This window comes from Homo sapiens, chromosome 8, assembly GCF_000001405.40.
Source record: "Homo sapiens chromosome 8, GRCh38.p14 Primary Assembly".
In the NCBI taxonomy this organism is placed as follows: Eukaryota; Metazoa; Chordata; class Mammalia; order Primates; family Hominidae; genus Homo; species Homo sapiens.
This window is the reverse complement of record NC_000008.11, coordinates 127,175,550-127,201,734: the sequence shown is the minus strand read 5'-3', so window position 1 is coordinate 127,201,734 and position 26,185 is coordinate 127,175,550. Positions and strand designations below refer to the sequence as shown.

The following is a 26,185-nucleotide window of genomic DNA, read 5'->3' as shown; positions in this document are numbered from 1 at the left end:
TAACAATGGGGCCAAACTGGGGACCAGAAGGGGCCATTTTCTAGTTCTGAACATAGATAAGCATCACTAACTTTTCCCTCCTGGCAGTAATGGCCTCAAAAGTTCCAACTTAGGAGAAAAAGGCAAAACCGTCTGCCAAAGTGTGTGAAAAGTTAGAGCAAACCTTGGTTTTACCAAGAACCTGTGTCCCTCTTATGGAAATTCACACTTTCACACTTTTAGACAAATATTAAATGTGTGACATTCTATTACGTACAGTGCCTGGCACATCTAGACACGCAGCACACTTTAGCCCCCTTCTTTCTTCTTCTAACTCCAAGTTCTAAACTAGAAAAAGCCCCACTTGAGTCTGAGATTTGCTTTTTGAACTAGTTTATTTCAGATTGTAATCATGCTATCTAGGGTTGTGACAGTGTTTGCTATTTCTAGGGCACTTTGACCTGATTCTTTTTGCACAGGAAACTTGTTCTACCCTTTTGCCCACTTCACTGAAGTGAGGACTGAGACAGAGAAGGATTAAGTCACTTTTTATTTAACAAATATTTGTTCCACATTCCTCAGCATTTATTAAATACTGGTGCATAATGATGGAATAAATTTTATACCGTAAGGATAAACCAGTATTCTGGACTAAGCCAACGTGGGAGACCCTAGGAGGCCTGTTTGAGAAAGTGACATTTAAATTGAGACTTGGCGGTGGCTGTGGCTACATATCTAGTAAGTGGCTGGGTTGGGATTTGAACTCATGCCTGCTTAGCTCTAAAGATGATGCTTTTGGCTTTGTACTCTGCTCTCTCTCTAGACAAACTCTGGTCCAAAATCGTTAAAGCTAACATTTATCCCTGCCCAACTGGAATTGTCATGTTATGACAAATGGCTCTGTGGTCTCAGATGCCCAGCAGACCCATTAGTGGAATTCTATGTGCTACAGACCTGGGCAAAATGCCAGAGCCTTATACACCCATCACATTTCGTCTGGCAAAGGTCTTCAACAAAGAGAAGTAATTACAGCAATGAAAAGCAACAGGTCCAGCAACACCATAAGAACAAAATAATTAATTTCCCTAAAATAGAAGAAACCATTTATAGAGTAAGAGCCGATACAATCAATAATTGGAAGAAATAGAAGAGGCTTTAGTATTCTAGCCTTCTTTATTTGTAGATGTAAATGTCGAGCCTCAGAGAAGTTATATATCTAATTAGTGTCACTCAGGTAGATAACAACAGAATTAGGATTAGAACTTAATTCTTATGACTCCCAGAGCAGGGAAAAGACAGGATGAAGTCCCAAAACATTGCGTGTGAACTCACATCTGACTCTGAATTGAGAGTCTGCTATTTACTCCCTATGTGACCAGAATCCTTCAGAGCCCATGAGATTCCCTGTCATAGAGTAGATTTTGATCCACACTAGGCATTTTTACCTCTTGCTCTTTGAGTTGGTGCCCCATGTTTACTCAGAAATATTCCAAAGGTGTTACATCTATTGGTTTTACATGTTGAGCACAGATCATTATAAGACAAATTGAAATGAAAACATCAACAAGTCTCATTCATTGTCTAACTTACGCTGAGCAATATTTAATAACTAGAATATCAAGAGAGTCCAAAGTGTTTGCCCATCCCCTCAAGACCAATGTAATGGAATTTTACTCTTATCACCTGCTCAGGGTAGTGGCAATTCAGGATACAGAGGACAGAAATAAAGAATCATGACACACAATCCACAGAATTCACAGATGCCAAACATCTACCCTTCTCTGTCACCACACATTGGACTCACATGGTGGAAATAGGCAACACAAGCAGAGAGGTGGCTTAACCTTTCATAATTTTTCAACGACCTATGGGAAGAGAGTTTTCTTGGTTCAAATCCCAGCTTAGCCACACAGAGTGTGGTAATATTGGGCAAGTCAACCAAGCTCTCTGTGCTTCAGTTTCCTCATTATTAAAATGGGGGAAATAATAGTGCCTGCATCAGAGGGTTGTTGTGAGAACTAAACGAAATAATTTATCTGAGCTTTAGAACCCACACCATATTAGTTAAAAATTCATGCATTTTCTTTTATTATATTTCTCTACCTTAGACTGCAAACTCTAAGAGGAAAGGCCGGACTGTTATATTCATAAAGCATTACAGGAACAGTAATTAGAACTAGGAGCTTTTCAATGGCCTGCCTGAAATCTGAAAAATAGGTATATTATTTGAAATTTTGAAAAAATCAAATAATTAAAAATTAATAGATGTTAATAAAATATCTGTAATATGTAATATCAAGGTCAACTCAACTCTTAATTGTTTATATAAAATATAGTGAAGTTTAAATTGCAAAATCTTACAGAAAATGTGCTATTAAAACTCAAAAGTATAATTCTTTCTAATATGTATATATATGTATATAGTTTTATTTTAAGTTCAGGGGCACATGTGCAAGTTTGTTACCTAGGGAAACTCACGTCACAGGACTTTGTTATACAGATACTTTCATCACCCAGGTATTAAGCCTAGTGCTCATTAGTTATTTTTCCTGATCCTCTCCCTCCTCCCAACCTCCACCCTCAGGTAGGCCTCAGTATCTCTTGTTCCCCTCTATGTGTTCATGAGTTCTTATCATTTAGCTCCCACTTACAAGTGAGAACATGTGGCATTTGGTTTTCTGTTCCTGCCTTAGTTTGCTAAGGAAAGCACTGTGGCAATTTCTCAAAGGACTAAAAACGGAATTACCATTCAACCCAGCAATCCCATTACTAGTTACGTACTCAAATATTTTTAAGGCAAAACAAAGCTGCAACCAGAACACCTGGACTCCCTGAAACCCCTTCCACTGATGTTGTTGTTGTTGTTTCTTTTTCCCCAGCTTCTCAGGCCAAAATACTGGATCATCTTGGGCACTGTTCTCTCCTGCCCACCCTTTCCCATATGCAGAGTGTTGTCACTTCTCTCTGCTTCCACTGCTAACTCCCTGGTCCAAGCCGCTGCACCACTTTTCGTGATTATTGCCACAGTCTCCTCACTGGTTCCCTGCCCCCACTCTTGCTCTGAACTATCCAGTTAAAACCTGAATTAGATCATCTCATCCTCATCTCAGAGCTTTCTCGTGGCTCCTCTGCCCTCTCAGGAAAAAATCTAAATTCTAGATGACCTAAAAATCCCTTGTCTCTTACTGTTTATCTGACCTCATTTACTACCACCTTTTTCTTTGATCATTCTGTTCCAGCCACACTGGCCTCCTTACCACTCCTCAAATATGCCAAGCACAGCCCCCACCCCCCAGGGCTTTGAACTGGCTGATCCCCCTTCCTGGAATGCCTTACCCCAAATATCAACTTAGCCAACTCCCTCCTCTCCTCCAAGTGTCTGTTTAAACATGGCTTCAGTAGGAGCTGTCTTAACATCCTATTAATATTGTAATTCCTCTCATGACACTTTACACCCCCTTCCCTGATATGCTTTCCATATACCATGCAATATCTGCTGAGATAATATATAATTCACTTATTTTCTTTATTGTCATTTCAAAGAGGGCGGTGTGTTCTGTGTTTTATTTAGTGCCAAAATACTTGCTGATGAAGAGAGTTCCTGCCACATAGTAGGTGCTCAATATGTGCTTGTTGAATAAATGTGTCAATGTTTGATGTACAGACCTTTTATTATGTTTGATTTGCTGCCAGTGCTGCCTCCAAACACAGGAGTGCTTCATGAGATGTTCACAAAAGCTCTTAAAATATTCCACAAAAATCTTAAAATATTTCATGAGTTTTCTTTCCTGTATTTTTATAGCAGCATCTGGAATTTAGCCTGCATAGGACCCTCTGTAAGCTGACCCTGTTTATCTATTCAGCTTTACTTCTCCCCTCTCTCCACTTTGTATTTTATTCTCTACTACTTCCAACTGATTGTAATTTGACCAGACTCCAGACTATCTTATGCCTCTTTGCTTTTGTTTACCTGTTACTTCTCTCTGGAATTCCCTGCCCCTTCTTAATTTTTCTGGCCAATTCTCACTCTCTAGGACTCAGAGGTTTCTCCTCAGGAGACTTCCATGAGTCTCATGTTGAGTTAGGTGACCCCAATCCTCTGTTCTTCATAGTCATTCGCGCATTTATCTAGCTCAGCATTTGCCATACTACATTGAAATTATTTCCTTATGTGCCCATCACTCCCCGTAGATTGCAAACTCCTAGAGAAGGGCTCAACAGTGAGTGCTGAGGCTGCACAGAGGAGGAAGGCAGCACAATGATGGAAGGCTTCCTAAAGAGGTATGTTCCAAGAGCCCCCACTTCCTTTCATGGGAGACTCATGCTGTTACACCTAGACTATCTAGGGATACATCTAATGTAGTCGTGGAAAGAACAGAGGACTTGAGTACTAGACTGACGTGATTTTGAATCCTGGCTCCCTATTGACCAGATGTGTGTCTTGAACAAGTCCCTGAGCCTCAGTGTCTTCATCTGCACAGTGAGGATAATGATACCACACTGCATATATGAGGTATCCGGCACATGTAAATGTCCACTACATGCTGATTTCTTCACCCGCTACTCACCCCTGGGAAAGAAGTAGACTCACCTACTCTTGGTACCCATTCATTCCCCCTCAGTTGGAAGCATGAGGTGTGCAGCTGCCTGACCTGGGGGAAGGGCTGCAAGCAGTAGGTGTTGTCAGATGTGGTGGAGCTTGTTGACTTCCTCCCAGGGGCCCAGCTAACAACCTGCCTCTGTTCCTTGATAGTCAAGTTCAACTTTCACTTCTTAGCACCACAGGAAGTTGACTGAACATTAACTGAAGTCTCTCTCAAACAGGAGACATCTTTGCCAGGTCCCTGTACTTCCTAGCCTCATTCCTGCTCTCCCTAGTGAGCAGGCTGCCCTCCCTTCTCGCCCCAGCACCACTGATAGGCAAGGGTACTCAGAACTACTACCTTGTGGGCCATGTCATGTGCCAGGAGCTGCACCCAGGACTTTAATACAGTAGTTGGCTCCCACTGAATGTTCATTGTTACCCCAGGATAAAAAGGGGACACTGTGATCATTTTCTATTTTGCTGTGATCAGGCTTGGTGAGCTAAAGTCACCTACCTTCCCAGTCTCTACTAATAGAAGTCATGGATCAGTCCTATTGGTTCTTCTGTTACAAGGATTCAGAATTCATAATCATGGAGCTGCATTTACAGGCAGAAGTTTCTTTCATAGTTTTCTAAGTGTTCCTTTTAGCAACAATGGAGAAAATCAAAGAGGGCAAAGGTGAGGGGAGAAAATAACATTTCCCTTTCTGTCCTTTGCTCTTGTAGTCTTTTGCTTTAGTTTCTTTACTATGACTGTGAGGGTGAAACTAGTGATCAGAGTGGTCCAGAATGGGTTTGATGAATCTGATTCTGGTGACACAAGATGAATTGGGTATATGTTTCCCTAAAGATAGAGAGACAATATAACATAGTCTTTACATTAATAGACTCTGGAGCCAATTTTTTTAGGTTCACTCTCTTTCCTTTCATGTGTGTTGATTTTCAACAAACATCTTGCACTCGAATTCCATCTCACTGTTTTATTTTCAAAAAATTTAATTTGAGAAAGTTAGCTGTATTAATTTTTTCTTTTTCTAAAATTCTTTTACTAATTGCAATTATTTCCATTGATGCTATTCCATTGAAACCATTTTAACATGGACTCAATAACTTCATTGTATGTTAATGTTTAATTTTCATTTCTTTACCTTCTTGGTTTTCTAGCTGTGTTTAATGTGGTTGACCACTCATTCTTTGAAGCTCTATTCCTCTGGCTACTACAGTATGACACATTTTGTCTCCTTCTTCAGTCTCTGTCTTCTCCACAGTCTTCTCTTCCTTTTATATACCTTTAAATATTAATGTTTCCCAGAGATATTTTCTTAACTCACTTCTCTACTGATTCTAGGTACTTTTCTTGATCCAACTCTTCTGATTTTACCCATCTCGATGATTCTATAATTTGTATTTTCTGTTTTGATCTCTTTTCAGTCTTCCAGACCTAAATATCCAAATGCCTGATGGATAGTGCTTTCTTTTTTACTACCAAGCCCTCAAAGGCACTATGTTCAAAAGGAATTTGTCATCAGTCTCACGGCACATAAGCTTCCTCTTGTGTTCAATCTGGAGACTTGAGAGTCTTCCTGTTCCCTTCTTCTCCTTATTTTCTCCATAATCAATCACAAAGTCATGTGGATTTTGCTCCTAAATATGTTAACTTCTTTCCTCTCTCACTTTATATCCCTTACATCTAGGTATTTCAGACCCTCAGTCTCTCTCACATAGACTTTGGCAATAACCTTCTAATATCAGTCAACCTGACCAATAGGCCACCAGTGCTTCATGTAGAATCTGGACAATGTAGAGCACTGAGAATGCTCACACTGGTCATATATGTATGAGTTGGTATGACATCTAGGGAAGTTGAAGACTTACATAGCCTTTGGCCCAGCAATATACACCATAATACATTAGAGAAACTCTAGCATGTGTACACAGTGATATACACACAAGAATGTTCACAATGCCATTATTTTAATAGCAAAATTGTGGAAACAACACAAATGTTTATCAATAACAGAATGGATAAGTGAGCCATGGCATAGTCATACAATGAAAAATAATATAATAGTCAAAATGAATGATCTGAAGAGATATCATTATTGGCAATCTTATAAAAGACTGAGTTAAAAATGCAATTTGTGAAAATTTTTAATTATTTGATATTATTTAATGCAAAGTTTTAGAACATGCAAACAACTGTATATATTATTTATGTATATATGCAAATTCAGCAATAGCATTTAATCATGCCTGGGAATGATAAGTATCAAAGTCAGAAAGTGGTTACCCTTGGGAAGAGAGGTATGTATCAGCGGTGGGGCACATAGGATGTTGCAGCCATATCTGTAATGTTTCTTTGCTTTAAAAAATTTGAATCAAGCTTGGCAAAGTGTGACATTTGATTAAGCAGGATAGTGAGTGCATATCTGTTACTTATATTGTTCTTTATAATTTTCTCTATGCTAAAGCATTTTGTAATTTAAAAAACCTGACAGTGTTACTCCCATGCTTAAAATATGCCAGTGGTCAAACCAAATCCAGCAGCACATCAAAAAGCTTATCCACCATGATCAAGTGGGCTTCATCCCTGGGATGCAAGGCTGGTTCAATATAAGCAAATCAATAAATGTAATCCAGCATATAAACAGAACCAAAGACAAAAACCACATGATTATCTCAATAGATGCAGAAAAGGCCTTTGACAAAATTCAACAACTCTTCATGCCAAAAACTCTCAATAAATTAAGTATTGATGGGACGTATCTCAAAATAATAAGAGTTATCTATGAAAAACCCACAGCCAATATCATACTGAATGGGCAAAAACTGGAAGCATTCCCTTTGAAAACTGGCACAAGACAGGGATGCCCTCTCTCACCACTCCTATTCAACATGGTGTTGGAAGTTCTGGCCAGGGCAATTAGGCAGGAGAAGGAAATAAAGGGTATTCAATTAGGAAAAGAGGAAATCAAATTGTCCCTGTTTGCAGATGACATGTATATCTAGAAAACCCCATTGTCTCAGCCCAAAATCTCCTTAAGCTGATAAGCAACTTCAGCAAAGTCTCAGGATATAAAAATCAATGTACAAAAATCAGAAGCATTCTTATACACCAACAACAGACAAACAGAGAGCCAAATCATGAGTGAACTCCCATTCACAATTGCTTCAAAGAGAATAAAATACCTAGGAATCCAACTTACAAGGGACATGAAGGAACTCTTCAAGGAGAACTACAAACCACTGCTCAATGAAATAAAAGAGGATACAAACAAATGGAAGAACATTCCATGCTCATGGGTAGGAAGAATCAATATCGTGAAAATGGCCATACTGCCCAAGGTAATTTATAGATTCAATGCCATCCCCATCAAGCTACCAATGACTTTCTTCACAGAATTGGAAAAAACTGCTTTAAAGTTCATATGGCACCAAAAAAGAGCCCGCATCACCAAGTCAATCCTAAGCCAAAAGAACAAAGCTGGAGGCATCACACTACCTGACTTCAAACTATACTACAAGGCTACAGTAACCCAAACAGCATGGTACTGGTACCAAAACAGAGATATAGATCAATGGAACAGAACAGAGCCCTCAGAAATAACGCCACATATCTACAACTCTCTGATCTTTGACAAACCTGAGAAAAACAAGCAATGGGGAAAGGATTCCCTATTTAATAAATGGTGCTGGGAAAACTGGCTAGCCATATGGAGAAAGCTGAAACTGGATCCCTTCCTTACACCTTATACAAAAATTAATTCAAGATGGATTAAAGACTTAAATGTTAGACCTAAAACCATAAAAACCCTAGAAGAAAACCTAGGCATTACCATTCAGGACATAGGCATGGGCAAGGACTTCATGTCTAAAACACCAAAAGCAATGGCAACAAAAGACAAAATTGACAAAGGGGATCTAATTAAACTGAAGAGCTTCTGCACAGCAAAAGAAACTACCATCAGAGTGAACAGGCAACCTACAAAATGGGAGAAAATTTTCACAACCTACTCATCTGACAAAGGGCTAATATCCAGAATCTACAATGAACTCAAACAAATTTACAAGAAAAAAACAAACAACCCCATCAAAAAGTGGGCAAAGGACATGAACAGACACTTCTCAAAAGAAGACATTTATGCAGCCAAAAAACACATGAAAAAATGCTCATCATCACTGGCCATCAGAGAAATGCAAATCAAAACCACAATGAGATACCATCTCACACCAGTTAGAATGGCAATCATTAAAAAGTCAGGAAACAACAGGTGCTCGAGAGGATGTGGAGAAATAGGAACACTTTTACACTGTTAGTGGGACTGTAAACTAGTTCAACCATTGTGGAAGTCAGTGTGGCGATTCCTCAGGGATCTAGAACTAGAAATACCATTTGACCCAGCCATCCCATTACTGGGTATATACCCAAAGGACTATAAATCATGCTGCTATAAAGACACATGCATACGTATGTTTATTGTGGCACTATTCACAATAGCAAAGACTTGGAACCAAGCCAAATGTCCAACAATGATAGACTGGATTAAGAGAATGTGGCACATATACACCATGGAATACTATGCAGCCATAAAAAATGATGAGTTCATGTCCTTTGTAGGGACATGGATGAAATTGGAAATCATCATTCTCAGTAAACTATCGCAAGGACAAAAACCAAACACCGCATGTTCTCACTCATAGGTGGGAACTGAACAATGAAAACACATGGACACAGGAAGGGGAACATCACACTCTGGGGACTGTTGTGGGGTGGGGGGAGGGGGGAGGGATAGCATTAGGAGATATACCTAATGCTAAATGATGAGTTAATGGGTGCAGCACACCAGCATGGCACACGTATACATATGTAACTAACCTGCACATTGTGCACATGTACCCTAAAACTTAAAGTATAATAATAATTAAAAAAACCAATAGTTTATGAAACCCCCCCCAAAAAAAATATATGCCAGTGGCCTCCAGTTGCCCACCAGGTAGCATCCACATTCTTTAATGGAAAGCCCTTCCTTGCTTCGAACTTGCCAACTGGGATTGGACATTTGTAGTTGCATTTCTAAGAACTGTTCCCTTTTGTCAATGGAGCCTGATTTCCACTTGGATATCTGGGTGATTTAGGGAAACTGACCTCAAAACCCAATTCTACATTTCGACCATGTGACCTTGGCTTAATCAATTCACGCATCTTTTTCCCTCACCTCAGGGGATGATCATATGAACTAAGCCAGTTGCAATAGAGTAAACCTCATGTTCCTAATGAGAAATCCAGAACAAAATGCTTTATTTTTCTTCAATTTTTTATTAGGTCATCTCCTGAATCAATTAAAAAAAAAACCAACAGTGACAACAAAACTAAAAAATATGAAGAAGCTGAAACATGAAAGCTCTGCCAACTGCAATATGTAGCTGCTAAGGTTGCTGTATTTATTGGAATCAAGCAAGTGTTCCAGTAAAGAGCACAGAAGATGTGTCTGGGAGCCTTTATGTGTAGGTCTGCAAGTGGTGGATATCACTACTACTCACACGCCATTGGCTAGAACTGAGTTGCATGGATACACCTAATTGTAAAAGAGGCTGGGAAATAGAGACTATTGTGCCCAGAAAGAAGAGAAAATTCATTTATGGAAGAGGTAGCTAGTCTCTCACAGCCATGAAAAGAGAAGTGTTTAGCTAATTGAAGTGAATAGCAGCCATCTTGGGTCCCTAAGGCAAGTTAGACTAATATTGAAGTGGAAACCATGAGGAAAGCAGTGATACTGAAAGTAACCGCATCTTTGAGAACATGCATTCATTTCCTACAACATGAATTTATTGAGGACCTACCTTAATACAGGCAGCGTGCTAGACACCAAGAGAACTGATGTCCTCTTCCTTCCTGCCTGCCTGGAGCCTGTATTCTGGAGGGGACAGAGCTAGCAGATCAGACCTAACTGGAAATCTGCTGTGCCAGTATATATTTCAGTGATGTGAGCCAATATATCCCCTTGATTGCTCAAAGTAGTTTGGTCGATATATTTTGTTGCTTTAAATTGAACACATTCTTATGTACAGCCTCTGTCTCCTCATCTCCAACCAAGCAAAATAGCTTGTTCTCTTTATGCAGGGACACATGACATTTCCCACGTGGCTTTGTGCATATCTCCACCTCAATTTAAAATGCCTTCCAATCCCTGCTCAAAGTCAAACAGCTTAATAATGGTAGACATAGAATTTGACTTATTCTAATAATAGGTCTTTTAAACAATGCCTTCTTCTCTTCATTCTTTCCTTCTTAGAGTGGGTATTCTTTCTGGTGCATCATGTAAAGGAAGGTAACTACATGCATGTAATGATGAGAATATTTATATGTATTTATGATTATCACAAAAAAACAAAGATTCTACCATTCAAGAGGAACATTTATTTTATTTTTTTATTTGAGAAAAGTATAATTTTATTTATTTATTTATTTGTGCAAATTTATGGGGTACTTGAGAAAATGTGTTACATGTATATAATGTGTAGTGATCCAATCAGGATACTAAGGGTGTCCATCACCTGAGTGTATTACATTTTTGTTAAGTATAATCATCCTACTCCAGGAGAACATTTTAAAAACTGTTCTGTAGAGATACTACTCAAATTAAGTTCTCAGTCCTGAAACATCAGATCAGCTAGGAATCTGACAAAAATGCAAGTTCTCAGATGACAGATGAGACCACTTCAATCAGAATTTCTGGAGTGGAGCCCACACATTTGTATTTTTGCAACCTTTCCAATGATACTTATGTACATGCTCAAGCTTGAAAACCACTTTCCTAGGACATTAGTTCCTCGACAAGATTTGTGAGTAACCTTGTTTCATGAAAAAGTGTTTAGGAGATACTGATTCAATAAAAACTAATCAGGCTTTTATTGTTTGCAGGGCTTTCAAAACTTGCAATAGGCCACTGTGCATTGTTAATTTCTAAGAGGAAGATGCTTATGTCCTCAATGAATATCTTCCCACCATGAAGTACTCTTCTTCCCCCACTTTTTAAAACAATTACTAACACCTGGCAGAAGTAGGCAGACAGCTTACAGCTTAGAAAAAGTTGGCCTAAGATAATGGCTAATTTTCATACATTATTTATTTGTCATCATGCTTATCTTTCTCTCTCTAAATTGTATATTTCATCTCTGTGATCACAGATTGAGCCTCATATTTCATATCTGCCCCTGGCCTAATGGTTGTTTACAGAATGAGCTCAATGAATATTGTTAAGTGAGTAGGATTTAATTTATTTGATAAATAGATAACCTTAAGTTTTAAACGGTGGATTTCACATGAGGACATTTACTTACTATTGTTGAGCTGTAATTAATTTTTAATACTGTTTAGGTACTCATAATAAAGAACAGGATATTTGGAGAAGGAAGACAGTATCATTCCTGGTTCTTAGTCTTACCAGCTTATTGATCATGAGTATATAACCTCTCTGTGGCTCAGTGCCTTTCTCTGTAAAATGGGAACACAGTGATGTTCACCTCACAGGATTGATTTGTAAAAGGGCTGGATAAGGTTATGAGAATGTTTTGCAAAGTGATATCGAAAGATTAATTGCAAACTTCATTTGAATCTTAAATTGTTTGAGATAGGTCATGCTATGAATCAACTATGAAGTGCAGATATTGTCAAGATTCAATATTTCTTTCCCAAGAGCTGAGAGGAGGGGCTGCTTGTTTGTTTGTTTCTTTCTTTTTAGAAACATGCCAGGACAGGCTCATTTTCGGGTTTTCCTCTCACTTGCTCATCTTACTTTTTCTTTAGTTTCTCTATTCATTAGGATACAGTACTGTAAAGCTTTATGGCATTTTTATTTTGTGGGAGATGAATCTGAATAAAGAATTACAGTTAAATCATTGCTAAGTTTGATGAATGAGCACCAAAGAACTCTTCAAGATGTCATTTTTAAAGTTTTGTAAATGATTGGCTTTCAGTGGTTTCCTCTAAGGAATTTTAATTTTGAATAATGCATAGAAAAATGTGCGCACACACAAATCATTCAGTATCCACCTCGAAGGGAAATCAAAGTGCCTGTGAAGTGAAACTTTACCTTTCTATATCACCAGCTTCCTGTTAGAGCAGACTTTTTCTTTGCTCAAAGTCTAAGCATTGAAGAACTTCTTTTTAGTAGGTAGATTTTTGTGTTTTTTTGTTTGTTTTTGAGACGGAGTCTCACTCTGTCGCCCAGGCTGTGGTGCAGTGGCACGATCTCGGCCCACTGCAAGCTCTGCCTCCCGGGTTCACACCATTCTCCTGCCTCAGCCTCCCAAGTAGCTGGGACTACAGGTGCCAGCCACCACGCCTGGCTAATTTTTTTGCATTTTTTAGTAGAGATGGGGTTTCATCGTGTTAGCCAGGATGGTCTTGATCTCCTGACCTCATGATCCACCCGCCTTGGCCTGCCAGAGTGCTGGAATTACAGGCGTGATTTAGTAGGTAGTTTTGAGTAGGGAGTATACATTTAAAATGCTGAAACTCAGTTAAGGAATAATCTAATACTGTATTCAACTGAAACTCAGTTGAGAAATTTCTTTCCAATAATAAAGGAAAATCAACTGCAGTAATGAGGGAGATGATTTTGCTGCTAATTACAACAAATATTTACTACAGACCTGTTATGCACCAGGAACTGTGCTAAATGTTTTATACATATAACTTTATCTTGTGCTCCAACAACTTATTACATAGAAATTGCTATTATTCCCATTTTCTAGATTAATAAATTGGTTTAGAGGGGTCGTATAGGTGAAACAACTCACTCAATATCACAAGCTGTTATGTGGTGAAGTTTGCATGATCAGTACAGGGTTCTGGTCATCCCACTCATTGAGTGGTGCTAGTCAAGATCTGGAAGCTCTTCTGGTCTTAGTTTCTCTAGCCGTGAAGTGACAATGATTAGGTCTAATCATAGAACATGAGAGTACATGTGAAAAAATGCCTTTTTAAAGAGTATGAAAAACTTGAGTTGTAAAATTTTCTTGTGGATAATTTATTATTGCTTTTCTTTTTTAGATAACACTAACAAAGTTGACCTTAGAATTGGAGTGCCTGGGTTAGAACCCTGCTGGTACCACCTGCTTACTGTAAGACTTTGGTCAAGTTATTAACTTTTCTGTTCCTCATTTGTGAAATATTGTGAAAAATAGTCTGTTTGCCTGTCTGAGAACAGTACTGGCACAAAAGTGCTTAATACACTTCACTCATTATTATTAATATTACTATTGTTGCATTTTCCCCTTGAAGGCATGCTTCTGATGTGAGTTCAGGAGAAGACACTGGCAAGGACAGCAAAGAACAGGAGAACACTCTAGCTTCCCTGATAGCATTCAAGGTGCTGTCCAAAGTGAGTTTTCCTCAAGCAGAGAGATGCACTGCCTCTTTTATGCTTTGTTTTTCTTACTTGCCTACTCTATTTACACCTTCTAAGTAAGGACCAATCAGCAAAACCCCAAGAGGGTCACTGTCATGAAAATAATTATGAACTGGCTGAGTGCTTGCAATGTTTATTATTTAGGTTTTTAAGAACAGATAATTAAAGGCCCAAGAGAATTTAGTCTCTCCCAATTGTAAAAGTGGGGTCTTATAGAAACCCACAGAGCGCTTGGGGTTGTACACTTACTTCTAAAAGTTCTCTTAATAAATCACTGCCCTGGTGCACTCCCTGGGGTATTTCATGACCAAGTGAAATCACTTACTGTTTCAAATTTGCATTTTTCCTGAGTTTGCATATTTTTCTTGCATGTGCTTTGTTACCAATGTACCAAGTCCTTATACATTTGGACTGCATTTACCGCAGTTTGGAATGGTTTCTCAGAAATGGGACATTAAAATCCTGGAGTGTGACACTGACACGTGGAAAGAGCTTCCTTTGTAAGCTGCTCAGGCATGCTGAGAATTAGTGTAGAAATGATTTTTTCCTTAATTTTCTTGGATAGCAACCTATGTAGGATCTTATAATTATGTGTAGGAATTCATTAAAGAAACTCTCTCCATTGCTAGAAATCCAAGCTGGTAGTGAGGAGAGAGCTGTGTGATTTGTTGCAGCAGAAGTATTATGGAAATATTTACTAAATATCTTCCATGTGCTGGGCATTGAGTGAAACACTTTCATATCCCTTGTAACATGTGTCTTAGTCTAAGGTAATACTTTAATGTAATTGTAACAAATGGATAAAAGGGGAATTGTCGTCATTTTACAGATGAAACATTAGAGACTGTAGGAAACTAGGCCCAGAACAGTTAAACAGAGTAGACATAACCTCTTACCACTTTATCTGCTACTATGTAACAAATCACCCTAAAATTTAGTGTCTTAAAACAACAAAAACAAACATTTATTATCTCACAGTTTCTGGCACATAGGAAGCACTGCATAAGTGATTGTTATTCTTGCTGATTATGTTTCTGTCATTGACACTGTGTATCACTGAGTTGGGATGTGTATTAGATAGAATCATGGAAGGTAAGGTTATAGAACAATAATTCAGACACGTTCACTATACTAAGTGCTTTACATATATGAAGTCAACTACATTTAATACGTATCAACAATGAGGTTGATATTAGTAGTATTCCCATTTTAGAGATAAAGAAAGAAATTCAGAGAGACACCATGCCTCATATTACTCTATCCAGGGAATAACTGGGAGTGATTCAAGAATATAGAATTAGAAAAATGGTCCTTACCACTGTGCAGAGCAAAGATTGCAGATATGGGAGAGCATGAGACAGACTGGAAGAACACTGTGTTTTGAGATCAGCATGAAAGCTGGTCTAGCAGGAAGTTAAGCATCACTTTGGGAAGTGATGGAAAATAATACTGAAGAATAATATTCTCTTATTGAAAGTTTTAATTTTTCTTTCTTTCTTTTTTCTTTTCTTTTTTTTGAGACAGAGTTTCACTCTTATTGCCCAGGCTGGAGTGGAATGGCGCAATCTTGGCTCACTGCAACCTCCGTCTTTCGGGTTCAAGCAATTCTTCTGCCTCAGCCTCCCCAGTAGCTGGGACTACAGGCATGCACCACCATGCCTGGCTAATTTTGTATTTTTAGGAGAGACGGGGTTTCACCATGTTGGTCAGGCTGGTCTTGAACTCCTGACCTCAGTTGATCCACCGTCTTCAGCCTCCCAAAGTGCTGGGAATACAGGCATGAGCCACCATGCCCAGCCTAATTTTTCTTACATGAGATACGGTTTACCAAAGTCCACCTTCCACTTCTTCCTTCGTGTATATATAGAGATAGCATTTCCTAGCTTCTCTTGCAATTAATTGTGGCCATGAGCTTTGGGCAGTGGAATGTGAATGGAAGTGATGTGGCCACTCCATATGTGTTTCTCTGTGTCCTTTCCCCTTCTAGCTGACTGTGATGGCACCCTCCAGACAGACAGCGATGCCACATGTTCAAGATGGCAGAATCACTATCAGCTTCAATTCCTGAATGACTGCAGAGCAAAATTTCTTACCTGCAACATACACTCTATTTTCAGCCTCCCTGGACTGTTACATAATGATACATAAAAATATTTCTTGTGTTGAGGCATCCCAAATTTGATTTATTTGTCATCACAGTCTATCCTATGAATATATTTCTGATCCAAATAATGCTAGATTCATGAGAGTTTATAGTCCAGAGATTTTTTTTTTTTTTTTGAGACAGAATCTGTCTCCCAGGCTGGGGTGCAGTGGCATAATCTTAGCTCACTGCAACCTCTGCCTCCCGGGCTCAAGTGATCCTCCCTCCTTAGCCTCCATGAGTAGCTGGGACCACAGGTGTGCACCACCACACCCCGCTAATTATTTTGTATTTTTTGCAGAGGGGGGTTTCACCACATTGCCCAAGCTGGTCTCAAACTCCTAGACTTAAGGGATCTGCCTGCCTTGGCCTCCCAAAATGCTGAAATTACACTTGTTAGCCATAGTAATAGTTCCTAGCCATAGTCCGGAGATATTTTAAAAACTTTAGTGTGAGTTATTTCTCTTTGCTATAATTCTCTCATGCATTTTGAAAACCTTTTCTGCCATACAGTGGTTTTTGGGAAGTCCTTTTGGACAGACATATCACAGGATGGAGAAACTAAAAAGAGAGAATGCATTAAAGAAAAAATAGTACTTCGTATTTCAGAAATTACAAAAGGGTGTCATGCCCCACAGCATGGTGGGCAGTCATTTGTAACCCACAGAACATTGAGTTTCTAAAATTTGAGTGTTTTTAACTTACGAAGGCCAACTTTACTGATGAAGTGATTACCCCAAATATGTGAAATCCATATTTCAAGTACAATAGTAGGAAATTGGAAATGGGTAGGTATATTTCTGACTGTCAAAGAGTACAAAGTAAAGAGGGGCCCCTGAAGAGTGACACTACTGGAAAAACAGAAGAAAAAAAAAACTGTTTCTTTTTTTAAAGAGCAGTCAACCTCAAACTTACTACTAATGACTGTATTTCATTTCAGTCTACCCCAGTGGTTTTGTTTCTCATAGACTGTAGAATGTAAGCCTTTTTGGTCATTCTGACAGATTTTCCAGCACAAAGAATATCAGGGGATTAACTGACAAATCATGGGTATTTTTGGCAAGATAGTAGATTAACCCTGGAAATTTTCTCCATCTATGAGAAAAAAAGACATGTGCCACCTGAGGGTTACAAAGACTGTTGGTGGCTGACCTCAGGCTCCTGTCTTTTATTTTATTTTATTTTTTTACCATTTTACCTCTGCCCTGTTTTTTTAAATTATTATTATTTTACTTTAAGTTCTGGGATACATGTGCAGAACTGCGGGTTTGTTACATGTGCCATGGTGGTTTGCTGCACCTATCAACCCGTCATCTAGGTTTTAAGTCCCACATGCATTAGGTATTTGTCGTAATGCTCTCCCTCCCCTTGGGCCCCACCCCTCAACGCGCCCCACCCCTCAACAGGCCCCAGGGTGTGATGTTCCTCTCTGTGTGTCCTTGTGTTCTCACTGTTCAGCTCCCACTTATGAGTGAGAACACACAGTGTTTGGTTTTCTGTTCCTGTGTTAGTTGGCTGAGAATTATGGCTTGCAGCTTCATCCATGTCCCTGTAAAGGACATGAACCCATTATTTTTTGTGGCTGCATAGTATTCCATGGTATATGCCATGTGCCATGTTTGCTTTATCATTGATGGGCATTTGGGTTGGTTCCAAGTCTTTTCTATTGTAATTAGTGCTGCAATAAGCATACGTGTGCATGTGTCTTTATAGTAGAATGATTTATAATCCTTTGGGTATATACCCAGTAATGGGATTGCTGGGTCAAATGGTATTTCTGGTTCTAGATGCTTGAGGAATCATCACACTGTCTTCCACAATGGTTGAACTAATTTACACTCCCACAAACAGTGTAAAAGCGTTCCTATTTCTCCACAGCATCACCAGCATCTGTTGTTTCCTGACTTCTTAATAATTGCCATTCTAACTGGTGTGAGATGGTATCTCATCATGGTTTTGATTTGCATTTTTCTAATGACCAGTGATGATGAGTTTTTTTCATATGTTTGTTGGCCAAATAAATGTCTTCTTTTGAGAAGTATCTGTTCATATCCTTTGCCCATTTATTGATGGGGTTGCTTGATTTTTTTCTTGTAAATTTGTTTTCAGTTCCTTGTAAATTCTAGATATTAGACCTTTGTCAGATGGGTAGACTGCAAAAATTTTCTCCCATTCTATAGGTTGCTTGTTCACTATGGTGATAATTTCTTTTGCTGAACAGAAGCTCTTTAGTTAATTAGATCCCATTTGTCAATTTTGGCTTTTGTTGCCATTGCTTTTGATGCTTTAGTCATGAAGTCTCTGCCCATGCCTGTGTCCTGAATGGTATTGCCTGGGTTTTCTTCTAGGGTTTTTATGGTTTGGGGTTTTACATTCAAGGCTTTAATCCATCTTGAGTTAATTTTTGTATAAGGTATAAGGAAGGGGTTCAGTTTCTGTTTACTGCATATGGCTAGCCAGTTTTCCTAGCACCATTTATTAAATAGAAAGTCCTTTCCCCATTGCTTGTTTTTGTCAGGTTTGTCAAAGGTCAGATGGTTGTAGATGTGTGGTGTTATTTCTGAGGTCTCTGTTTCATTGGTCTATATATCTGTTTTGGTACCAGTACCATGCTGTTTTGGTTACTGTAGCCTTGTAGTATAGTTTGAAGTCAGGTAGTATGATGCCTCCAGCTTTGTTCTTTTTGCTTAGGATTGTCTTGGCTATATGGGCTCTTTTTTGGTTCCAGATGAAATTTAAAGTAGTTTTTTTCTAATGCTGCAAAAAAAGTCAATGTTAGCTTGATGGGAGTAGCATTGAATCTATACATTACTTTGCTCTGCCCCTGTTTATACATACATGACTGATATGGTTTGGCTGTGTCCCTGCCCAAATCTCATCTTGAATTCCCACATGTTGTGGGAGGAACCTGGGGGGAGGCAACTGATCATGGGGCAAGTCTTTGCCATGCTGTTCTTGTGATAGTGAATAAGTCTCATGAGATCTGACGGTTTTAAAAAGAGGAGTTCCCCTGCACAAATTCTCTCTCTTTGCCTGCTGCCATCCATGTAAGGCATGACTTACTCCTCCTTGCCTTCTGCCATGATTGTGGGGCTTCCTCAGCCATGTGAAACTGTAAGTCCAATTAAACATCTTTCTTTTGTAAATTGCCCCGTCTCAGGTATGTCTTTATCAGCAGTGTGAAAATGGACTAATACAATGATACAAGAGTAGTTAGAACAGTATTTATAAATGTGCCAATGTTAATCAACATAGGAGTTAACGATTCCCTGTTTTTCTGTGATTTCTCATGCACCAAAAATATATTAAGATAAAATATACAATTTTCATTCACTATTAAGTGACTAACCTCATATTGCTTTCAAAGGCATTTATTGGCACCTACTATGTGTGAATACACTCAGCTTGCTTATGTGAAAGCTGAATAACAAAGTGGTTATGTAACTTAATGAAGGTCCCACAACTAGGAAGTGGTAGAGTAACTTTCTAAACCACTTTCCTCCCAGTTTAGTTTCACATTCATGTGTTCAGTCAACAAGCACTTATGGAATCCTGATGCTGGGCCCTACTTTATGGTAGACACTGAAGATACAGACTTTGTCCCTGCCCTCATGGAGTTCACAGTTCAGGAGGGAAACCAGATTTAATCAAATAACCACACAAAAATTTGCTCGTAAAATGAAACCAATGCTATAAGGAAAATGAACAGGGTGATTTGAGAGCATATAATAGGATTTTATCATATCTGATGATTCAGAGTAATGTTCTCCTATAGAAGAGATGTGGGAACTGACATCTGAAGTGTCAGTGTTAGTTAGCCAGGTGTGGTATATAAAAGATGACCAGCTTATCCACCAAGAGGTAGAATTGCTTTCCCCATGCATTAAATCTGGACTGGCCTTTGACTTGCAGTGTCCAACAGATAAAGTGGAAGTTTCTGCTCTTGCTCCCTTGGAATATTGTTCTGAGACTGCCAGCTGAAGAAGTCTAGTCTAGTCTAGTTTATTAGTGGATGAGAGGCTGGTAGAAAAGCGAAAAACTGTTGCAGCTGAGTCCCCTGAGTCCAACCAGTTGACAGCCTGCAGCGACTGTGTGAGGCCATCTTAGATTATTCAGCCCCACTACAGATGCCAAATATCTGCAGCTGTAAAAGTGATTCCAGGCAATAACAGAAGAACCATCCTGCTGATCCTAGCCCAAATTGCTGGCCATAGAACCATGAGCTAATAAGACAGCTGTGGTTATAATATATTGAGTTTGGGGTTGGCATGTTACATGGCAGTCAGTTATTGATACCCTGAGAGAAGTATGGAAGCTGGGACTGAATTCTAGGAAGAGGGAAAGATATAGGCAAAGGTCCTGAGGAGGGAAGAATAAACTTTTAGAGAACTGAAAGAAAGATGATGAGATAGAAGACTTCAGAGGGCTAGGCAAGGCCCAAGTCTAAAAGCAGTGTCTTAGAATCTGTCAAAAATCTCATCTTTTTATTGTTGTTTGGAACAAAGTCTTTCTTTATTGCCTAGGCTGCAGTCATGCAGTGGCACAATTAAAGCTCACTTCAGCCTCGACCTCCTGAGCTCAAGCAATCAGCCTCCTGACTAGCTGGGACTACAGGTGTGGATGACTATACCCAGCTATTTTTTTTTTTTTATTTTTTGTAGAAACAGGGTCTTACCATGTTGCTCAGGCTGGTCTCAGACTTCTGGGCTCAAGCAATCCTCCTGCCTCAGCCTCCCAAAGTGTTTGGATTATAGGCATGAGCTAGCATGCTCGGCTGTGAGTTCAATTTTTTTCTTTAAAAGCAAGAGAAAGTCACTGTAGAGATTTTGAGCTCAGAAGTGTCATGAATAGACTTGCACATGTGCATATATTGTTTTTTTTTTTTTTCACCAGGCGCAAACTTATGGTGGAAGGGACCTACATTAAGCACACATAAGTAGAAGCTGGCCAGGCACGGTGGCTCATGCCTGTAATCCCAGCACTTTGGGAGGCCGAGACTGGTGGATCACGAGGTCAGGAGATCGAGACCATCCTGGCTAACATGGTGAAACCCCGTCTCTATCAAAAATACAAAAAAAAATTAGCCAGGTATGGTGGGGGGCGCCTATACTCCCAGCTACTCGGGAGGCTAAGGCAGAAGAACGGCTTGAACCCGGGAGGTGGAGTTTGCAGTGGGCCAAGATCGCGCCACTGCACTCCAGCCTGGGTGACAGAGTGAGAGTCTGTCTCAAAAAAAAAAAAAAAAAAAAAAAAGTAGAGGCTGAGTAGAAGCTGAGTAAATCCTATTTTACTATTTGACTGATTAAATCACGAAGATACCCAGGAGGCAAAACTGAAACAGCTCAGGTGTCTAGGGGAAGTCCAAAGTAGAGGACACTGTGAACCAGCTACCATGACTGACCTCAGTTTGAAACTACTGGGGTAGTCTGTATTATGGCTGAAAAATTCATTCTTTCTACCAAGATTTTCCATTGAAAATTTGCCTTTGACTTATTTAACTTCTAATCAGCTGACCTTCTACCTTTTTTGCATTTGAAGTAGATTTCTTTTAGTAGGCCAGCGGGTAAACAAGGAGAAAACACACAGGGCAAGTCAGATGCATCATTGAACCGAGTTTCTCTCTCTAAACCTGTAAAGTACTAGTGAAAATTCCTACTGTTGAATCAATTACAACTGCAAGCTTAGAATCAGGGTACAGTGCTACTGTTAAGACTTTGGCCCTTGGCCTTAGTGGTTTGTAAGGCTTGTAAAGAAGTAAAGTATCTCTTTATTCCAGTTCTTGAATCCAGTTCATGAATCAAGGGAGATCCTTGGATGTCTGATGGCTGCTATTCTGTTTCTCAAACAATTTGAATTCAGCAAGCCGTCACTGAAGATATGGAGTCACACAGTCAAGTTTAAATCCATGCTATGCTATTTAAAACTTGCATGATCTTGTGCTAATTAATCAATTTTTGCTTCAGTTTCCGAAACGGTAAGGGGCACGGGGATAATACAGTCTGCTTACCGTATGGGTGAAGATGTGGGGGAAGATTAAATACATTGTTCTTACATGAAATGTAAACAGAAAGCTCCTCCACAGTAAGCTGTCAGCTAAAGCTAGTTTACTTTCCACTGCTCTTCAATAACGGAAAGAGTAATTTTTCATTACTGAAGGATAGACGCTGATGGCATTTTTTTGTTTCGTATATTTTATATATGCTTGGATTTTATATTGATCTTTGCTGTAAATTTGCTTAATTTTAAATAGGAAAATTATCTTTCCTTGGCCTATGCTTCAGCCTTTACTCCAGTTCAATGATTTCAACACTGGCTGGAAATTGGAATGTTAACAAAAATATCAATGCCTATTTTCATTCCCAAAGATTCTAGTATAATTGGTCTGAATTGTGGCCTAGGTGTTGGGATTAATTTAATAAAATAATCTTTTGTAAATAATTTTGTGCACAAATTCATTGAACTACAGAGAATTTTTGAGAAGTAAAGGATAGGTATTCCTAGAACACGCTGCTGATCTAGATGGATAACCAACGTTATTTTCACTACACTCTGCCTATAGAATGACATAATAAAACTTTTAAAAAACATTTTTAGTCAATATGGCAACTGAATAGGCTTCAGGTGACCTTATGGGTAAAATAGCTTTGTGGCTCATTAAATGAGCACTCTTAAATATCGCCTGTGGGGAATCCAGCCTGGAACCAAAGTATGCTCCGTGGTGACCAGGGAGTTGTGTTACTCCCCTTTACTTGAGGTAGAAAATAAAAATAGAAGTATTGCATTCAAATTACCAGGGGTTGTGACCCTCTACTATCTCATGTGTGTCATGTATCTCACGTGATGTGGCTTTCGTCACTTGATGTGTATAGGCTTCTCAATTTCACTTAAAAACTAATTCTTCAATTAGGGTATGCTGCCACCAGGTGGCAATGAGGGCCTCACTTGTGGTCGCTATCTTTGAATAATAGTTGTTCATTCATACATTCATTCGTTTTTCATGGCAGCTTGAAAAGGTTGATATGCCTTTTTACTTGCTATCTCTTAAAATTCAAAATGTAAACTTTAATACTAAAACTGAACGTCTATAGCTAATTATAGTTTTAATAATTATAAAGATTATATATACAGGTGTGCAGGAATAGCTGCATATGTATGTGAAACTCTACATGTCTACATGTATGAATGGTTTTAGAGAAATTAAAGATAAAAGTATGTATCTTCTTCACTATCCCTTATTAATTATTAGTCACAGCAAAACCATACATGGTTATTTCTATTCTTCTGTAGCCAAGTTTTGCTGTTAGTATCTTTATGAGTTGAGTACTGTTGTGTAATTTTAGACCAACCTGATGGTTGTTGGTCTGAAATTATGAGATTGAATACTATTGTACTATTGAGCACTATTGTATTATTATCTTTATGAGATTGAGTACTATTGTGTAATTTCAGACCAACTTGATGTTAAAATTCAATCACAGGATTCTCAAACTTTCTAGCAATGCGTAATTCTAATTAAGGAATTATTAATATATTTGCTTTTCCATATCTTGGTAATGAAATGATTTCTATCAACATTAGCTCCTAATAAGTTATCTTTTATTTCTCTCACACTGAAGAACCGAGAGGACAATAACATAGCTTTGTTTTATTATTGTGTTTATTGAGTCCTCATGACCAATTTCTCCTAATCAGAAGAAAGAAACTTTCTCTTGTCCATAGAAGAGGGAAACATCAGGATGATGTAGTCATTAGCTATGTATGACCTGAAAGTTATGTGCAATAATTCTCCTCTATCAGATGAATATGACTTCTATATCGTCTTAAGTTTTAACAGATCAACATAAAGGTTTTAGTAAGAAGCAACTAAGAAATTATTTTAAAAACATACCGTTACCCATAAAGAAAAATTGATAATGTCTTTGTGCTTCCCTGTGCCTTTTTAAAGGAAAAGTCCCAGTAATTCACCCCCTCTTCCAAGTTGATATCACACATGCCTGGAGACATTGTAAGGGGCCACAACAAATTAAATTTTGTGTTATCAAAGAAAGTTCCCATCTTTGGGTTGAGCATGAGACATTTTCACTGCCTCTGAGGTGACTGATTAGAATTCTTACCAACTGACCCACTTTCTGCCAATTGCTGCCTACAAAAACTAATCACACCCTCTCTTTTATAAATGTAAAACAAAGATGTGGGAGGGTCACTTAGCCCAAGGTGTTTACACAGAGCAAAGCTGAGCAACTTTCTAGATAACTTCTGATGCCTATAGAGCCAGAAGTAAGGAGACCTGGGCTCAGAGAGAGAGTGCTGCTGAGATATCATTTCTCCTTCTATCTTAAGCTTCTTTGTATCTTGGAATAGTTTGCCTTGACTTTAAAGAATCTATAAATCTCAGGAATATCTTCAGCTAGGCTGGCCCAGACATATGTCTTTAAGATAGCCTTTTTGATGGCATTTCCATGCAAATTTTAAATCAAGGTTGATAGCATTATCAGACAATAAACACTTGTGGTTTTAATCTTCATGATTTTGACTCTTTGGAAAAGATCTTGATGATCCATGAAATTTTTAAAAAAGTATTATCAAACCTCATCTCTAAAAATGTTGTGGTGGCCACTCCACATGTCTCTGTCCTTTCTTTTTCTACATTCATTTCCCAATCAAATGACATGACTTCAAATGCAAAAAATGTTTATCATTTCCTGAAATTATTACTTAGCTAGTTAATTCTCATATCTTTATTTAACCTTTCTTATGTTTCTGCAATGTTTTCTCAATTATTTTTAATTTCTTCTGAAGCCGGACTTCATATATTGATACTCTGCATCATCATTCCTGATTCAAAGTGAAGTACTCTAAGCCTCCCACAAAGCTTCTGTCCATTCAGTTCATTCATGCGTTCATTAATTTTTCTACTTCATTTATTTATTCATGCAATAAATATTTATTGAGTACGTATTTTGTTTCACTCTTCTTTTTGTTGATACATAATAACTGCATATTTATGAAGTTCGTGTGATATTTTGATGCATGCATATAATATATAATAATCAAATAGGGGTAACTAGGATATCCATCATCTCAAATATTTATCATTTCTTTGTATGGAAAACATTCCAAGTCTTCTCTTCCAGGTATTTTGAAATATACAATAAATTATTATTAACTATAATCACCCTAGTGTGCTATTGAACCATAAAACTTATTTTTTCTAACAGTATTTTTGTAACTAACAAGCCTCTTTATCGCCTCCCCTATCAGCCTTTGGTAAGCACCATTCCACTTTCTACTTCCATGAGATCAGCTTTTTTAGCTCCCATATATGAGTGAGAATGTGCAATATTCATCTTTCTATGCCTGGCTTATTTCACTTAACATAATGTCCCCCAAGCTTACCCATGTTACTGAAAATTACAGGAGTTCATTCTTTTTTATGGCTGCATAATATTCCATTGCCAGGCACTTTTCTTGATGCTGGTATAATAAAAGAGGCATTCTTGCCCTCATGGAGCCCATGTTCTAGTGGATCAAGGAGGCAAAATATATAGGAAACCTAGATAGCACAAGGGAGAATATTAGCAGCTCCAGGTCTATTTGGCAAGGTTAAGCTGTCTGCATGGAACCCTAGCCAGCAATGGCCAAATCAAGAATGGTTTCCTGCGCATGGCTAGTTCCTGCTGTATCTGGTGTCAACACTGAATGGTGGAATGTTGACTGCTCTGAAGGTTTTCCTTGATGCCCTTCAAACTGGCCTGGCCAAAATAATTGGACTCTTCTCTCACTTCCTGTCCCAGATTTTATTTCACCAAGACTAAAGTTTTGCCTTAAATGTTCAAGCTTCACTTGAAAACTTGTTCCCTGATCTGCTCTTTCCAGGTCCCACTGGTAGAGATTGTTCCTGGTCTTTCCTCCCCTAATCCTGGCTAAAATACTGCTTTAAGATGGAATCATTACCATGGCATTTCCATTTCTCTGTTTTTTTTTTCAACAATTTATTTATATACATTAAAATAGAAATGAACTACATGCTGTATATGAAACATTTTCCTGGGAATTGGGGATATA

The 26,185-nt window shown here is 38.5% G+C and overlaps 1 long non-coding RNA gene across 1 annotated transcript, besides 3 other annotated features; it reads left to right on the top strand.

The window, feature by feature from the left end:
• The first annotated feature begins 4,107 nt into the window (after positions 1-4,107).
• Positions 4,108-13,950, top strand: CASC19 (cancer susceptibility 19). Its single transcript, NR_120364.1, has 3 exons — positions 4,108-4,260; positions 13,620-13,690; positions 13,851-13,950. It is a non-coding gene; the product is annotated as a cancer susceptibility 19 (long non-coding RNA).
• Positions 17,014-17,063: an enhancer, noted in NCBI's record as "active region_27933". NCBI's record gives its function as "activates an Ori minimal core promoter by ATAC-STARR-seq in GM12878 lymphoblastoid cells {active_cell/tissue: GM12878}" and the evidence as "EXISTENCE:reporter gene assay evidence [ECO:0000049][PMID:35858748]".
• Positions 17,444-17,493: a silencer, noted in NCBI's record as "silent region_19524". NCBI's record gives its function as "represses an Ori minimal core promoter by ATAC-STARR-seq in GM12878 lymphoblastoid cells {active_cell/tissue: GM12878}" and the evidence as "EXISTENCE:reporter gene assay evidence [ECO:0000049][PMID:35858748]".
• Positions 21,912-21,971: an enhancer, noted in NCBI's record as "active region_27932". NCBI's record gives its function as "activates an Ori minimal core promoter by ATAC-STARR-seq in GM12878 lymphoblastoid cells {active_cell/tissue: GM12878}" and the evidence as "EXISTENCE:reporter gene assay evidence [ECO:0000049][PMID:35858748]".